The 19228-nt window shown below is 38.8% G+C and overlaps 1 protein-coding gene across 4 annotated transcripts in view, besides 1 other annotated feature; it reads right to left on the reverse strand.

Moving 5' to 3' along the window:
* The window catches only part of ZNF704 (zinc finger protein 704), a 255969-nt gene that overhangs the window by 186843 nt on the left and 49898 nt on the right, over window positions 1-19228 (reverse strand). For all 4 annotated transcript variants that reach the window (XR_928797.3, XM_017013725.2, NM_001033723.3 and 1 more), the window contains exon 2: window positions 6081-6322. Coding sequence is in view for 3 of the 4 variants with exons in the window: in XM_017013725.2 (XP_016869214.1) it covers window positions 6081-6322 (242 nt within the window). In the remaining variant the exon portion in view is untranslated. The remainder of the gene's footprint in view (window positions 1-6080; window positions 6323-19228) is intronic.
* Window positions 7448-8647: an enhancer, noted in NCBI's record as "BRD4-independent group 4 enhancer chr8:81734976-81736175 (GRCh37/hg19 assembly coordinates)". NCBI's record gives its function as "activates an origin of replication core promoter dependent on BRD2, P300/CBP, MED14 and CDK7 cofactors, and independent of BRD4, by STARR-seq in HCT116 cells {active_cell/tissue: HCT116}" and the evidence as "EXISTENCE:reporter gene assay evidence [ECO:0000049][PMID:35650434]".

The following is a 19228-nucleotide window of genomic DNA, read 5'->3' on the forward strand; positions in this document are numbered from 1 at the left end:
AAATTTTCCTTTTTTCTTTGTTATAACTGGTTTGCTAATACATTTCTCTAGCTTTAGAGTTATAATTAGAAGACAGTTACTACTTTGCATAATCAAATTGTAATTGATGTTTGGGTGAAATCCAACGAATTTAAGCATCAGTACCTTCAAAACCATGATGTCTGGCAAAAACAGAATAACAAATGTCAGGCTCTAATGATCTAGGTTATCTAACAATGCTTAACTGTTGAATTATTTTAGAGGCTGGACAATAAGTAATAATTGACTTATCAATATATTTTGAGCATTACATTTGTAAATGACAATAAGTTAATGGTCTCCAATAAACACAAATGGTGATGATAAGGAACAAAAATTCACTTGAGATCAGAAACCTATCCCAGTCTTAGGTCTGTCATTGGTGAAATATGTGTTTCTGGGTGAGTCACTTAACTTTCTGAATCTGTTTACTCATTTGCAAAATGGAAGTTAAGAAATCTAATGATAATAGACATTTGTCAATTTTTTGGAAGCCTCATGGCTGAATTTGCTTCTGTGTCTGGAGAACTTCCTAGCACAGATGTCTCTCACTTTAGAAGCCAAAAAGCCCAGTTGCAAGCACTGGTTCTGTAGAGTGAATGAACATAACTATGTTTCTAGCTGTTCACCCTCCTGTCCATTTTCTGACCTGGTTCCCCAGCCTTCCCAGCAACTCTGTGAGCTACCTTGATGGTCTTTCAAAAAATTTCACTCTTTGTTAAATCAGCCAGAGTCACTGTCTGTTCTTACAACCAAGAAGCCTCACTTCTACCTCAAGGTCTGGTCTGTACACTTCTCTTGATCTCAACTGTCACTCTTGTCTAAACTACCATAATTTCTTTCCTGTACTAATGTGGTGGCTTCCTGATTGGTCTTCCTTTGTCGATTCTTGTCCTCCTCTGATCCATTCTACACATAACACCTAAAGTGATCTTCCACTGAGATGAATGAAACCATATTCTCTTCCACAAAATCCTTCTCAGTGACATAAAAATGGAATTTAAACATCCTTCACACAATCAGTATAGCTCAACATGATCTGGCCAGCCTTCTTTTCCAAACTCGAATGTCTATTAACTGATGAGTGGATAAACAAAATGTGGTATGTCTATGAAATAAAATATTTTGGCAAATGAATGAAGTACTGACACATGCTATCACATGGATGAACCTTTCAAACATGCTCTCTTTTCCTGTCCTTAAACTCTTGAAGCCTATTTTCCTCAACTCTCCATAGGGATCAATGAAACTAGTATTTTCATCTCTCTCAGAGAGAGATCAGCCCTTGAGTGATTGCTATCCCAACAATTAGCATCGACACTTTTAGTACTTGTTACCCCCAACCCAATTACTGCTCTCCAATGATCCTAAAAGCTAGGAATTAATTTTCTTTCTGTTAATGATAAATCTTTAATTCTAAAGAGAAACAGTGCTTGCTCATGTGCTCTCACATACTCTTGCCCTCTCTTTCTGTGTAGTTATCTCTCCTGAGGAAAGTTGAATAATTTGAAGAATACTTTGGGTACCCAACTCTATAATGCACTTACTCCAAATCACGCTCAAAAAAGAAAGTAGTGCTTTTCCCTTGAAATCAATCAAGCAATATCCCAGGGGTAAGCAGACTCTCCTACAGTAAAGATTGTTCCTACCAACCCCAAGAAACTCAGAAGAGAGGTAGTTTGTATTCTGTCCTCTCATGACTCAATTAATTAATTAAAGAATTAATTTTAGGATCCTAGGGCCAAACAATCAGTTGCCATTTTTTCACAGGAAGCTTAGGGCCCTCTTAAACAATGAAGATTCCAGGTAGTCTGCACTGGTAACTCAAAGGGCAGGGAGACTGGCCCCTGTCTCAAGCCCGCACAGCCTAGGGCACTTTTAATATATAAAGTACAATATTGTGGGGTGGGAGGAAGGCAACCATGAGTACGCACCTTACAGATCTCCAATAACAGGGAGCTAACTGACCAAGGAAGGGCCCAGCTGCTGGCCGCTGAAACCATCTGCTGCATTTGCGCCAAGGCCACAGCTCCCACATGCTGCTCCCAGCAAATGATGGAGTACAGCAGGATTACCAATGCAGGACTCCTGAGGGCCTTGCCCAGCTACCTGGGACACTTCCCTCCAACTTTCCTGCCCTCTCTCCATCACTGCGCTCAGACTAGCACCCTAAACTGACATGCATCTCCCTCCTGTCCTTGCCCCTCCTGTCCCATTTCTCTCTCAGGTGTTTCTCTTACTAAAACGTTTGCATGTTTAATCCTGTCTTGGCATTTGCTTCTCCAATGACCCAGCCTAACACATCTGGATTAATAACTTACTTAAATTTATATTTTTCTGAAACTAGCAACTTTAAAATTGGTTCTCAAATATTGGGTAAACAAACAGGGAGTTTGTATTGATACTGAGCTCTTCCTTCTCTATTTCAATTGTCCCTATCTTGAAAAAGATATCAATAAAAAAATTGGGCTTTTAAATAGATGTTTCAAATTAATAACTTCCTTAAAACTAAAAGATTTTCCTTTAATTACAAATTTACCCCCAGTCCTAATGGGAAGGGAGCAAATCAGGAACTGTTATTTAAAATTAGCTACATATGTGTCTGTCCCTCTCATTCCACCGTAACCTCCAGGAAGGCTGGCACCTCACTCATCATTTTTACTGAGTACTGGGTTTGTAGCAGGTACTCAAGAAAAACCTGTTGAATGGAGGCAGGAGATCTGAAACTACAGTGAGGTAGAGAGTAAGGTGGGAAGGGGTTCCCAGATCTCTCTAGTTACATGAAATAAGCGATTGAAATACATGTATTGCTTTTATTATATAAACCTCAGAAAATAAACTTTGAGTTTCATTTTACAAACCAGAGAAAGTAAAGTTCAACAAAAATCTTAGCTTTAATGAGAATAAGCAAAAGATAAAGTGAGAAACGTTACAGGGAACTGATTTTAAATGATTGAAGAACTCTGCATTCTATGGGCCTAAAATGATTATCCTGCTTTTTGGCCAAAATATCATATATATATTTTTAAACATTTATTATATATTTTATAAGATATGGATACAGATATTCCTCAGTACCCATGGGGGTTGGTTCCAGGCCTCCCTATAGACACAAAATCAGCAGATGCTCAAGTCTCTTATATAAAATGCCATAGTATTTAAATATAACCTAGCACATCCTCTGGTATACTTTAAAGCAGCTCTGGATTACTTATAATATCTAATACAATGTAAACACTATGTAAATAGTTGTTATACTGTATTGTTTAGGAAATAAAGACAAGAAAATGTATCTGTACATGTTTGGTATAGACAATTTTTTTCCAGATATTTTCAGTCAGTGGTTGGTTGAACCCACAGGTGCAGAACCCATGGATACACAGGGCCAATTGTATATAGATTTCCTTGTATTGATAAATTTCACTATACTCTAGATTTACTCAAAGTTCATTATTTATACCTGTCAACAGATATATTTCTTCTTAGTAAACAAAAGGAAAATCCTACATCTTCCTACTGTATCAGGTAAAGAAGTTTCTTTAAAACAAAATATTGATATACTTAGGTGACAGTGGGAAGTCCGACATTTATTAAACTTGGTAGCAGTAAATGGAAATAGAGTTTGAGAGTTTGATCATTATAATCCACAATGCTTGATTCCCTCATCATCATTTTTTTTAAAAGCAACTTATCTCACCAACTGCTGGCACACTGTATTTATGATGATTAAATTCCTACTATAGCAATGAAAACAAGTATATTAGTAGATACCCCAAACAATGAAGCCTTAAGTAGTATTTCCCATAATAGATTAATACATCTAAATTATATCTTGTCATTGGGGGATTTTTGCTGTGCATTAATGGATTTAAAACCTAATTAACTTTCCCACACTGTTTAAGAACCTCACAATAACACTGGCGTGGGATCATGTACTTTTAAGTACATTCAGTGAACCATAAAAGGTGGAAAATATCCTACATACCAGAGTCAGAAAAGGCAGAAAACATCTTTCTTCTTCCTCTTTTCATTATTTTCCCCAGCAAGTGCTCCAAGTGAGGTGGAATTAAAGAATAAAGGTATACTTAAAACAACCTATGGCAATTTAAAATGATTAATTCCAGGTCTTTTAACATATACAATGGTCTAATGGAAATTTTATGTAGAATAAGTCCTATAGAATTGCAAGTTGGTATTAAACTGACACTAGAAGTCTAACTTTTGCCCTACAGACTTAGGAAAAAAAAAAAAAAGCACAGTTCTTCACATTTCAAATTGTTAACATGTCAGTTTCCTATGAGACAACCAAACAACAAATACAAATTGAGATGCCTATGAGGGTCAGGGTATGATAAAATGTTTCACAACCATGCCACAGTAGAAGGAAATAATCCTAAATAACTTAACATGTATTTATACGAAAAACATTAGAAAAGCAAATAATTCCAAGTAGTTAAACAGAAGTAATGAATACGTGAAAATTTTCAATTAAAGGTTAAAGAAAACTAAGAGGCCTATAATTTTAGAAAGTCTGACAAATCTGGCAATGGGAGAAAATAATAATTTTCTAGAGAAGATACTTTTGATTTAATATAGAAAGAAATGAAACGTTAATTACAAAACGTGAACAGGCAGGAAAGGCACATTTATTCCTCTTCCAAAGGTACTGTTTTCCTGGTTAACTGTTAGAAACCACTTGGACAAATGCAGGACTTCTCAAACAATTGCTATAAGCTCTAAGTTCCATTATAAATGATTTTTGGCAACAAAATGTGGCACCCATATTACAAATAAGCAATCTCTCATGCTACAGCATTTTCTTTCTTTTTTTCATCTGACAAATATTCATGAGTCCCCAGAACATAATTAAGCACTGTTCCAGGGCTAGGGATAAAGCATGAACAGAGTAATCTAAAATCCCTGCTGACGTGGAGCTTGTTTTCTAGGTGAGACAAATGATATGCAAGAAAGTAAAAGGTCTAATATGTATGTGCCACCACTGCCACTGTCATTCTGCCAGAATATTGTCCTTTGGTTCAGTGCTATTGGGTGTGGTTTAAATAAAATTATAATGTGACAAAGGCCTTTTTTTTTACTTGTTTTTAGAAAGACAAAGGCTTTTTGATATTTCAGATAAACCCTCTTGGTTGAGTTTTAAAGTAGATCTATCATACAAAGATTATCAAGATATAAACCAGGCATCACCAACTTTTTTCTTTTTTTTTCTTTTACATATTTTAGACTTTACAGACCACCTGTGCTCTGTGTCGCCTATTCTTCATTTCTTTTAAGCCGTTAAAAAGGCAGGCCAGGCACAGTAACTCATGCCTGTAATCTCAGGACTTTGGGAGGCTGAAGGTGGGAGAATCGCTTGAGCTCAGGAGTTTGAGACCTGCCTGGGTAACACAGTGAGACACCATCTCTACAAAAAATAAAAATAATTAGCTGGGCATGGCTGCATATGCCTGTAGTCCCAGCCAGCTACTCTAGAGCCTGAGGCAGGAGGACTGCTTGTGCCCAGAAGTTCAAGGCCGCAGTGAGCTACCTTTGCGTCACTGCACTCCAGCTTGAGCGACAGAACCAGACCCTATCTCTATTTGGAAAAAAAAAAAAAGTAAAACCATTCTTATGTTACAGGCCACAGAAAAACAGATCAGGGGCTGAATTTGGCCTGCAGCCATAGTTTACCAACCTCTGACCAAAGATCTGTGTACACTTGCTTTGAAGTGGCTACAGTCCTACTTAATGTATGCTCAGTCCTCTATATGATGTTTCATCCTAATTTTTTGCATTTATTCCTTTGCTCTTTATTATTCATTTATTAAAATTGAATAAAACATTTCTTTTCTAGAGCTACAATAGTTCCAACTACAGCAGCCTCAAAGTCAGTTATGAAGAGTAAGGCCACCTGCTCTATTTCACACAAGCAATAGAAAAAATTTCTTGGCAGAAAACCTTTCATATGTCTATATACTGAAGAGAGTCTGTACACTGGCAGAGATTATGCATGCTCTCCACCAACTTCCTGGGGCAGACACATGTGAGATTTAATGTTCCCTTACCTTGCTGGAGGAACATCAATGTTGGAGGAAACAACTTTTCTTTTTTGCTCAAGGAGACAGATGGAGCGAGTGTTTTCTTTTTCATGGTCAAGGATCCGGCTGGCTTTTTTGGTGTCTGCTGTTTTCACATCTTCCTCCATGGCCAAGGAAAACACGTGTTGATGAGACATTTTTTTACCACAGTCACGTTTTAAGTCCTCTGACTGAAATGTGAAGGTCATTTCCCGCTTAATGCTCCCCACCTGTGAAATGAAACACAGAAATTCTTACTCACATAAAACATCACCTTTGTACGACTACTGCAGATGGCGGTGAGGAGAGATTACAGACACTGTCCTTCCTGTTCATCTGAAAGATTGTATAATTTTAATAAGAAAAATGCAACATAGAAATAAAATAACTTCACAAAATAATATACAATCAATGCATCTGTAATAATGCAAATAAGAAACATCACAAACACACAAAAAAATGCCTCCCAGGTATACAAAAACAAAGATTTGAAAAGTGTAATACCTCTAATTTTTTAAAATGTAAAACATCATTGTTTTATCCCCCACAACTAAGAAAATTCAAGTAAACTCTTCAATATTTCAGTCTGATTATCATGTTTAATAGAAGAGAGCTAATGTATAAAATCTAACTTTCTTTTTGGCTAATAATACTGGTCTTAACCACACTCTGTAGTTCATGAAGAATTATTTCTTATCCTTCATCCCCAACAGTTAAGATTTTTTTATTAATTTATTTTAATTTTTTAATTATACTTTAAGTTCTAGGGTAAATGTGCACAACGTGCAGGTTTGTTACATATGTATACATGTGCCATGTTGGTGTGCTGCACCCGTTAACTCATCATTTACATTAGGTATATCTCCTAATGCTATCCCTTCCCCCCCGCCCCCAACCCATGACAGGCCCCGGTGTATGATGTTCCCCACCCTGTGTCCAAGTGTTCTCATTGTTTAATTCGCACCTATGAGTGAGAACATGTGATGAACTCATCCTTTTTTATGGCTGCATAGTATTCCATGGTGTATATGTGCCACAGTTTCTTAATCCAGTCTATCATTGATGGGACATTTGGGTTGGTTCCAACTCTTTGCTATTGTGAATCATGCCAAAATAAACATATGTGTGCATGTGTCTTTATAGCAGCATGATTTATAATCCTTTGGGTATATACCCAGTAATGGGATGGCTGGGTCATATGGTATTTCTAGTTCTAGATCCCTGAGGAATCGCCACACTGACTTCCACAATGGTTGAACTAGTTTACAGTCCCACCAACAGTGTAAAAGTGTTCCTATTTCTCCACATCCTCTCCAGCACCTGTTGTTTCCTGACTTTTTAATGATTGCCATTCTAACTGGTGTGAGATGGTATCTCATTGTGGTTTCGATTTGCATTTCTCTGATGACCAGTGATGATGAGCATTTTTTCATGTGTCTGTTGGCTGCACAAATGTCTTCTTTTGAGAAGTGTCTGTTCATATCCTTTGCCTACTTTTTGATGGGGTTGTTTGATGTTTTCTTGTAAATTTGTTTAAGATCTTTGTAGATTCTGGATATTAGCCCATTGTCAGGATGGAAGTTCCAAAATGGCCAAATATAGGAACAGCTCCAGTCTACAGCTCCCAGCCTGAGTGATGCAGAAGACAGGGGATTTCTGCATTGCCAACTGAGGTACCAGGTTCATCTCAATGGGGCTTGTCACACAGTGAGTGCAGCCCACAGAGCAGGGTGGGGCATCGCCTCATCCGGGAAGTGCAAAGGGTCAGGGAATTCCCTTTCCTAGCCAAGGGAAGCCGTGACAGATGGTACCTGGAAAATCAGGACACTCTCACCCTAACACTGCGCTTTTCCAATGGCCTTAGCAAACAGCACACCAGGAGACTATATCCCGTGCCTGGCTCGGAGGGTCCCACACCCACGAAGTCTTGCTCACTGCAAGGACAGCAGTCTGAGATCAAACTGCAAGGCGGCAGCAAGGCTGGGGGAGGGGCATCAGCCACTGCTGAGGCTTGAGTAGGTAAGCACAACGGCTGGGAAGCTCGAACCTGGTGGAGCCCACTGCAGCTCAAGGAAGCCTGCCTGCCTCTGTAGACTCCACCTCTGGGGGTAGGGCACAGCTGAACAAAAGGCAGCAGCAACTTCTGCAGACTTACACGTCCCTGTCTGACAGCTTTGAAGAGAGTAGTGGTGCTCCCAGCACGGAGTGTGAGATCTGCAAACGTACAGTCTGCCTCCTTAAGTGGGTCCCTGACCACCGAGTAGCCTAACTGGGAGGTACCTCCCAGTAGGGGCTGACTGAAACCTCATACAGCTGGGTGCCCCTCTGAGACGAAGCTTCCAGAGGAAGGATCAGGCAGCAACATTTGCCATTCTGTAATATTTGCTGTTCTGCAGCCTCCGCTGGTGATACCCAGGCAAACAGGGTCTGAAGTGGACCTCCAGCAAACTCCAACAGACCTGCAGCTGAGAGTCCTGACTGTTAGAAGGAAAACTAACAAACAGAAAGGACATCCACACCAAAACCCCATCTGTACGTCACCATCATCAAAGACCAAAGGTAGATAAAAACCACAAAGGTGGGGAGAAACCAGAGCAGAAAAGCTGAAAATTCTAAAAATCAGAGCACCTCTTCTCCTCCAAAGAAATGCACCTCCTCGCCAGCAACAGAACAAAGCTGGATGGAGAATGACTTTAACGAGTTGAGAGAAGGCTTCAGATGATTGGTAGTAACAAACTTCTCCGAGCTAAAGGAGGATGTTCGAACCCATTGCAAAGAAGCTAAAAACCTTGAAAAAAGATTAGACGAACGGCTAACTAGAATAAACAGTGTAAAGAAGACCTTAAATGACCTGATGGAGCTGAAAACCATGGCACGAGAACTACGTGACGCATGCACAAGCTTCAGTAGCCGATTTGATCAAGTGGAAAAAAGGGTATCAGTGATTGAAGCTCAAATGAATGAAATGAAGTGAGAAGAGAAGTTTAGAGAAAAAAGAGTAAAAAGAAACAAACAAAGCCTCCAAGAAATATGGGACTATGTGAAAAGACCAAATCTATGTCTGACTGGTGTACCCGAAAATGACGGGGAGAATGGAACCAAGTTGGAAAACACACTGCAGGATATTATCCAGAACTTCCCCAACCTAGCAAGGCAGGCCAACATTCAAATTCAAGAAATACAGAGAACGCCACAAAGATACTCCTTGAGAAGAGCAACTCCAAGACACATAATTGTCAGATTCACCAAAGCTGAAATGAAGGAAAAAATGTTAAGGGCAGCCAGAGAGAAAAGTTGGGTTACCCACAAAGGGAAGCCCATCAGACTAACAGTGTATCTCTCGGCAGAAACTCTAAAAGCCAGAAGAGAGTGGGAGCCAATATCCAACATTGTTAAAGAAAAGAATTTTCAACCCAGAATTTCATATTCAGCCAAACTAAGCTTCATAAGTGAAGGGGAAATAAAATCCTTTACAAACAAACAAATGCTGAGAGATTTTGTCACCACCAGGCCTGCCCTAAAAGAGCTCCTGAAGGAAGCACTAAACATGGAAAGGAACAACTGGTACCAGCCACTGCAAAAACATGCCAAATTGTAAAGACCATCGAGGCTAGGAAGAAACCGCATCAACTAATGAGCAAAATAACCAGCTAACATCATAATGACAGGATCAAATTCACACATAACAATATTAACCTTTAATGTAAATGGGCTAAATGCTCCAATTAAAGGACACAGACTGGCAAATTGGATAAAGAGTCAAGATCCATCAGTGTGCTGTATTCAGGAGACCCATCTCACGTGCAGAGACACACATAGGCTCAAAATAAAGGGATGGAGGAAGATCTACCAAGCAAATGGAAAACAAAAAAAAAGCAGGGGTTGCAATCCTAGTCTCTGATAAAACAGACTTTAAACCAACAAAGAACAAAAGAGACAAGGAAGGCCATTACATAATGGTAAAGGGATCAATTCAACAAGAAGAGCTAACTATCCTAAATATTTATATACCCAATACAGGAGCACCCAGATTCATAAAGCAAGTCCTTAGAGACTTACAAAGAGACTTAGACTCCCACACAATAATAATGGGAGACTTTAACACCCCACTGTCAATGTTAGACAGATCAACAAGACAGAAAGTTAACAAGGATATTCAGGAATTGAACTCAGCTCTGCACCAAGCAGACCTAATAGACATCTACAGAACTCTCCACCCCAAATCAACAGAATATACACTCTTCTCAGCACCACACTGCACTTATTCCGAAATTGACCACATAGTTGGAAGTAAAGCACTCCTCAGCAAATGTAAAAGAACAGAAATTATAACAAACTGTCTCTCAGACCACAGTGCAATCAAACTAGAACTCAGGATTAAGAAACTCACTCAAAACCACTCAACTACATGGAAACTGAACACCCTGCTCCTGAATGACTACTGGGTACATCACGAAATGAAGGGAGAAATAAAGATGTTCTTTGAAACCAATGAGAACAAAGACACCACATACAAGAACCTCTGGGACACATTTAAAGCAGTGTCTGGAGGGAAATTTATTGCACTAAATGCCAACAAGAGAAAGAAGGAAAGATCTAAAATTGACACCCTAACATCACAATTAAAAGAACTAGAGAAGCAAGAGCAAACACATCCAAAAGCTAGCAGAAGGCAAGAAATAACTAAGATCAGAGCAGAACTGAAAGAAATAGAGACACAAAAAACCCTTCAAAAAAATCAATGAATCCAGGAGGTGGTTTTTTGAAAAGATCAACAAAATTGATAGACCACTAGCAAGACTAACAAAGAAGAAAAGAGAGAAGAATCAAATAGACACAATAAAAAATCATAAAGGAGATATCACCACCGATCCCACAGAAATACAAACTACCATCAGAGAATACTATAAACACCTCTATGCAAATAAACTAGAAAATCTAGAAGAAATGGATAAATAACTGGACACATATACCCTCCCAAGACTAAACCAGGAAGAAGTTGAATCCCTGAATAGACCAATAACAGGCTCTGAAATTGACGCAATAATAGCCTACAAACCAAAAAAAGTCCAGGAACAGACGGATTCACAGGCGAATTCTACCAGAGGTACAAAGAGGAGCTGGTACCATTCCTTCTGAAACTATTCCAATCAATAGAAAAAGAGGGAATCCTCCCTAACTCATTTTATGAGGCCAGCATCATCCTGATACCAAAGCCGGGCAGAGACACAACAAAAAAGGAGAATTTTAGACCAATATCCCTGATGAACATCAATGCAAAAATCCTCAGTAAAATACTGGCAAACCGAATCCAGCAGCATATCACAAAGCTTATCCACCACAAGCAAGTTGGCTTCATCCCTGGGATGCAAGGCTGGTTCAACATACACAAATCAATAAATGTAATCCATCATATAAACAGAACCAAAGAAAAAAACCACATGATTATCTCAATAGATGCAGAAAAGGCCTTTAACAAAATTCAACAACCCTTCATGCTAAAAACTCTCAATAAATTAGGTATTGATGGGACATATCTCAAAATAATAAGAGCTATTTATGACAAACCCACAGCGAATATCATACTGAGTGGGCAAAAACTGGAAGCATTCCCTTTGCAAACTGGCACAAGACATGGATGCCCTCTCTCTCCACTCCTATTCAACACAGTGTTGGAAGTTCTGGCCAGGGCAATCAGGCAGAAGAAAGAAATAAAGGGCATTCAATTAGGAAAAGAGGAAGCCAAATTGTCCCTGTTTGCAGATGACATCATTGTATATTTAGAAAACCCCATCATCTCAGCCCAAAATCTCCTTAAGCTGATAAGCAACTTCAGGAAAGTGTCAGGATACAAAATCAATGTGCAAAAATCACAAGCATTCCTATACACCAATAACAGACAAACAGCCAAATCATGAGTGAATTCCCATTCACAATTACTTCAAAGAGAATAAAATATCTAGGAATCCAACTTACAAGGGATGTGAAGGACCTCTTCAAGGAGAGTTACAAACCACTGCTCAACAAAATAGAAGAGGACACAAACAAATGGAAGAATATTCCATGCTCATGGATAGGAAGAATCAATATCATGAAAATGGCCATACTGCCCAAGGTAATTTATAGATTCAATGCCATCCCTATCAAGCTACCAAGACTTTCTTCACAGAATTGGAAAAAAACTACTTTAAAGTTCATATGGAACCAAAAAAGAGCCCACATTGCCAAGTCAATCCTAAGCCAAAAGAACAAGGCTGGAGGCATCACGCTACCTGACTTCAAACTATACTACAAGGCTACAGTAACCAGAACAGCATGGTGCTGGTACCAAAACAGAGATATAGACCAATGGAACAGAACAGAGCCCTCAGAAATAATACCACACATCTACAACCATCTGATCTTTGACAAAACTGACAAAAGCAAGAAATGGGGAAAGGATTCCCTATTTAGTAAATGGTGCTGGGAAAACTGGCTAGCCATATGTAGAAAGCTGAAACTGGATCCCTTCCTTACACCTTATACAAAAATTATTTCAAGATGGATTAAAGACTTCAATGTTAGACCTAAAACCATAAAAACCCTAGAAGAAAACCTAGGCAATACGATTCAGGACATAGGCATGGGCAAGGACTTCATGACTAAAACACCAAAAGCAAGAAAATTTTGGCAACAAAAGCCATAATTGACAAATGGGATCTAACTAAACTAAAGAGCTTCTGCAGAGCAAAAGAAACTACCATCAGAGTGAACAGGCAACCTACAGAATGGGAGAAAATTTTTACAATCTACTCAGCAGTTAAGATTTTAACAAAATCCCTTCTAAGGCCCTATGATAAAGAAGTCAGAATAATTTTTCCTATCACTTGTAACAAAATGTAATGATGATTATGGTGGGAGACAAATATAAAATTAAACCTTAATGAACTGAATCTTGTTACTTCAGACTTTGTGAAACTGAAAAAGGAGACTGAAGCTAAAGAAAGGTTTCTGTAAGGTAATTGGTACTGTAAATGAGGACTGGAGAAAACCAGTTAAAGTCCTATTGTACAAAGATGAGTCTATCTGGTAATCTGGAGCCTCACTAATCAGTGGGGTGTATTTCAAAATATGCACAATCATGAGACATTTCATGGGCCTGTGATACAATCCATTTCCTCCAGTGGGGTCATCTGTGAAGTCAGTAAATCTTCACTCTCCCATTTAAATAGAATACATGCTTGTTTCTTTTTAATTTTCGGTAGGAGAAAAAGCACAAAGGCTTTAATCAAATAGATTTAGATTTATAGAATCTAAGGCCATAAGCATAAATCATTTTCAGAATACAAGGAGAATATGTGTGTTTGATAATAGCAGAGACTGGTAAAGGAAGGTATTAACGACTAGAAATTCTCAGACTAAAGGAAAACTGAAATACATGCATGCTGAAGTCACTGCATCTGCCCCAACATGAGACTTTCCAGAGTCCAGGGATGACTTGGGCCTTGGAATCCACTTGGCTGGCATGGATCTTTCCTATGACACATAGAGCACTACACAGAGCTCCATTCTCATCTTGGCCTCTCCTACCAGGAAGAAAAGAAGATTCTCTTCCCATAGTTTTCCTGTCAGACATATACCCAGCTCCACAGGAAGATTGTCACCCACTTTGGTTTACTTGTAACTCATTAAAAACTCACAATATTTCTTAGACTGTATTAATGAAATCAAATAAAGATAAAAGAAAATCTAGTGTCTGTTTTTAAGTGTTCACTGTTTTAATGACATCAATATGCAATAGAAAGACATAAAATATTTCAGACTTCCACAAATGAAATAAATGATAAAAATGTGTTTAGAAAATCAACAGATGTAAGGACAAGTATGTTAAACATCCATCACTAGTCAATGCACTGCGTAACTCTCTCTGCCTGGAGGTGGGGGGAGAGGGGAGAGTTTTTCACTTCTCCACCAGTCCATTCCTAACCTATGTTACAACAAGAAAACTCTAAACAACAGGGATAAAAAAAGAAAACAAAGGCCTAGTTTTGATGATTATAAATTGCTTCTAAGTGTCAAGTATTACGTTAATTAAATATTTAAGTCTTCACAGTATTAAGTTGAAACAAAAATTGACATCCATGCCTCCCTTGGGGCCAAATGGATTGATTAAATGAATTCTATCCAAAGTTTAAAGGAAGGAAACAACATTACAGGAAGTCTAGCTTTTAGCTTCAAAAATTTAGGAAAAAAAAACCTGAAGCAAATTAATGCAAATAGAATACATTTCCTATAGAAATACTGTTATAACTGTATGTCATGCATGCTCTTAGCCAAGGCTTCATAATAAAATATAGTAATATACAACAAAGCAAGCTATAAATCTTCTATAATACTTTCTAAGTAAAAAAATTAATCTCTCAATAGTAATCAGAGAAATTTAGCAATGTAACGGATTTTAAAGAAAATTTAGCCCAGACTTCTTATTTAAAAGTAGAATTAAAATGATCAAAAAGGACCAAAATAACTGTAAAGATAAGTAAAATATTTTGGACACTATGAATCATGGGTTCCACCATTTGTAATGCTAGCGGAAGGGGCAGATGGCAGATGTAGATACTCATTATATCACTATGCTTTAAAGCATGTATATATGTATCACATGTTCTTTTTAATGTCTTTTATTCATATCAATTATTATATTTAAGACACACAAAAAAAACAAAAAATGAGAGCTCACAGGAGAGGAGAGAGTAGAAAGCATATATAACGTCGAGTCTTAAGAAGCTGGGCTCGGAAATGGCCCAGAGAAATAGGGTGGTGGCTGGAGGGGATGATGGACGAGAGAGAATTTTAAGACAGGAGGTAAAAGAGTATGTTTGTACACTGAGGCAGAATGGAAAGGAAGGGATAAGCAAGGACTGGCAGCAGCAGTAGAAGGTGACAAGGCTCATCCAGTTATTGCAAATGAGCACTGACTGGAACCTACATTAGCTTAACAGAAGAAAGAAGCAAAAGGAAAATATAATTCCATTCATATGAGATTTCCAGAAAAGGCAAATCTACAGAGATAGAAAGCAGATCAGTGATTTCCTGGGGCTGGGGTGGGAGCAGGAACTAACTGCAAATGGGCATGAGAGAACTTTTTGGGGTGATGGAAATGTCCTAGGACTAGACTGTAGTGATATCTGTATGAGTAGTAAGTTTACTTAAAATTATTGAATTGTATCTTACAATGGGAGGAATGTTGTGGCATTTAAATTATACCACAATAGAGCTGAGGAAGGAAGGATGGAAGGATGGACGGAAGGAAGGAAGGAAGGAAACCAGAGTAACTAAGGAAGGAGGGAAACCAGAGTAACTATTGATATAGAGGGTGTGTTTCTTTCTTTTTTTTTTTTTTTTTTTTTTCAGATGGAGTCTCGCTCTGTCAACCAGGCTGGAGTGCAGTGGCACAATCTCAACTCACTGCACCCTCTGCCTCCCAGGTTCAAGCAATTCTCCTGCCTCAGCCTCCCAAGTAGCTGGGATTACAGGCACCTGCCACCACACCCAGCTTTTTTGTATTTATAGTACAGACAAGGTTTCACTGTGTTGGCCAGGTTGGTCTTGAACTCCTGACCTCGTGATCTGCCCACCTCAGCCTCCCAAAGTGCTGGGAATACAAGCGTGAGCCACTGCACCCGGCCTAGAGGGTGTATTTCTAAGAACCCCTAGAAACAAAAATTTGGAAATTGTGATGCAAAGAGATAGCCACCAAGTCTATGGATCTTAAAAACAAAACCAAAGAAAACAAAATAAAACAGAGATGGCATGGCAACCCAAGCTGCTGCAAGCAGTTGTGTATTAAACCCTAAACACTGGTCAAATGAGGCTAAAATTCAGTCCCCATTCAAGCCACATCCCGAGGCTTCCTTACTTTGGATGAGGGACATTTTTCTGATCCATGCACCTGGAGAGCAACTTTTTATACTTCATCTGTCCAAATAGGGTGCTTTTATTTTTTTTCCCAATTTGTACAATGCCCTGGTGACAAAACTGTTCCTGGTGATCTGCAAGGTCTAGTCTAAATTAGCTTGCTGCTTCTTTGAAGCTGGTATCAATTATGTGATTCATAAATATGAGCTGATATTCTTGTTAATGGAAAACTTGAGACAATCTGAAAAATCACTCTATGCTATAGGTCCTAAGCAGGAAAAGTGTTCAATGATAGAAGACAGCCAGAAAGAACAAAAACATCTGGTTAGAAGGACAGAAATCAACAGCAGCATTAAAGCTGGTAAGGGCAAGAGAAAGAAGAATCAGTATGCACAGCACTAACAAATGAAGATGCTCACCTTTTGGGGTAAATGGGGATCTACCAAAGAAGGGAGGGCTTCTCACAGCTATAGGATTCCTTGTAAGGACCAGGAAGAGAACACAACATAGGTAAGAAACTGACAGCTTCCTGTAGGAGAGAGACCTAAGTGGCAGGGAAGAGCTGATGCTGATGTTCAGATTAATTTCCCCCACATTAGGATTGATTTAAAGAACTTGCTTTCCGAACACTATAACTTCTATTGCTCATCAGCACTTTGTAGTCATATTGTACTACAATAGCTACCATCAAATTCTTTCTCCCTACCCAACACAGAAGCTCTTCATATAGTGTATCACAGACATACACATTATCCCATATAATTTCTTGCAAGGGAACAAAGCTTCAATGTTCAATTATATGAGAATACCACCAATTACTGAGTTAACGGACAAATAAAACTCAGAATTTTCATTCCAATGAACAGCTTTTGTTTTCCTAGAAGAAGATAAACAGTGTATATATAAATATGATATACTTGGGGAAATTGCCATTTTTTTTTTAACAAGAAGTTAACAGTATCTATTTATGTCCTGAATTTCTCTAAATGGTATCCTTTGTAAATTCGATGCAACTTCCTAAGACAGGGACTGAAGCTCATCATTTCTTCTTGATACAAAAACATCTGGTTTCCACAGGAAGATCATAACGGCGCATCAGAAAAGAGAATGTCTCTGACTTCAGCCCACTTATTTGATCAATCCTTCCTTCTGCCTACACTCAAGTACACTCTGGGCCACCTTAATCCTCACACTTTTCTTACAGATTTACAGTAATGAAATGCTAAAAAGCATGTGTCAACACTCAACTCTTGGAAACTGTCCTCAGTTACTCATCTCAACCAAATCAGATTTGAGGAGTTGGCTCCGGAGATTAACAACATTTCCAGGAATAATCTGAAAACAACCCATTTGCTTTCTGGGGCTTTCTGGATAGTAAAAAAGTAGTTTAGAAATTCTAAAGAAAAAAAAAAGGCATGAAATTTAGGCCACAGCAAAAATCACTCTTAGCAAACAATAGGAGGCTAATAAGAGGACCACTTGGCTGAGCAACTCTTTAAGGCCCTTCCACTCACCAGGAAACCATAAAATCACACCTGAAAAAGTTTATAAAATTTTTTCTATTTCAGATTATTCCCCTCCACATCAGGATTTAAAGAACTTGCTTTCATAACACATAATAAGACACATTACTATTTGGTGACTGATGACAATGACACATCAACCACTGTGTGGAGTGCAAATCAGACCCAATAGATTTAAAATATGTTACAAAAAGATAAGCAAAACTGATATTAATAATAAAAACATTTGATTCTCTCAATTAATTTAAAATATTACTGCTGGCCAGGCGCGGTGGCTCATGCCTGTAGTCTCAGCACTTTGGGAGGTCAAGGCGGGTGGATCACGAGGTCAAGAGGTCAAGGCCATCCTGGCTAACATGGTGAAACCCCGTCTCTACTAAAAATACGAAAACAAATTAGCTGGGCGTGGTGGTGTGCACGTGTAGTCCCAGCTACTCATGAGGCTGAGGCAGGAGAATCGCTTGAACCTGGGAGGTGGAGGTTGCAGTAAGCCAAGATTGTGCCACTGCACTCCAGCCTGGCGACAGAGCAAGACTCCGTCTCAAAAAAAAGAGAAAAAAATTACTGCTAAGGATCATGTTCAAAGAAAGACCAGAACCTTAGAATAAACTGATAAAAAATGACACCCAAAAACAGTCAACAGAACTCTACTCCTTATTTTAAATTACATTCTTCAAATTTCATGCTAGGTACACAGAAAAATATGTTGGACGGCAAATCTATAGTCCTAATGAATGGCTATAATAGAACTACTTTAAAAACAATTGCTTCCAATTACTAGCCCATTGATTATATTATTCCCTTAGCCCTCTGAAACCAATGAAGTTTGTTGACTGCTTTTTCCTTAAGTACATACATTATTTTTCTATACCAAGACAGAGGAAGTGGCTGATGAAAATCAGACTGGTTTGGTGGTAGTGGTGATGTAACCACAATAGGTCTGTTGCCCTATGTACATGGTAAATCAATATGCCGAGACACCAGGTTGCACTGGTTTAATCATAGGGCTGCCAAACAAGGAGATGGGAGGAAACCTCAAATCTGTCTGCCAGAGGAGTTTGGGAATAGGGTTTTTAGGGGTTTTGGAATGGGCCAAAGTGTGGAGATTGTTGACATCAGCTGTTCTACTGGAATTCAAGATCTGTTTAAGCAGTTCTTAACTGGAAGCCTATGATTCTAATGTCAGAGGTCCTATCTATCTTGAGCAAAAGCCTTATGATTCTAATGTCAGAAATCCTACTAGCTGGGCACGGTGGTATATGCCTGTGGTCCCAGCTACTCGGGAGGCTGGGGTGGGAGGATCACTAGAGCCCAGGAAGTCAAGGCTGCAGTGAGCCGTGATTGTGCCACTGCACTCCAGCTGGGGTGGCCGAGCGAGACCCTGACTCAAAAAAATAATAACAAAAGAGAAATCCTATCTACAGGTACAGTGGGGATGCAAATGGTCAGTATCTAGTGTTCCATGACTTTCAGTTACAAAAAAAAGTGAGTCAAAGGAAACCCAAATTAATGCTTAATTACAGTATTTCTGTCCAAAATTCTTGTTAACCCTGTGAGGGCAGCTTCAATGATGGAGTAAGAAGTAAAATTCAGCATGACAGAGTTGAAGCCCTGCGTTATGTTTTGGCATCATATGTCCAAACCACACAACTACACTATCTCAGGAATCAGTGTTGTTAATGCTGGGTTTACGACAGCAAGTTTTTGTTTGTTTGT

Source organism: Homo sapiens, chromosome 8, assembly GCF_000001405.40.
Source record: "Homo sapiens chromosome 8, GRCh38.p14 Primary Assembly".
Classification (NCBI taxonomy): domain Eukaryota; kingdom Metazoa; phylum Chordata; class Mammalia; order Primates; family Hominidae; genus Homo; species Homo sapiens.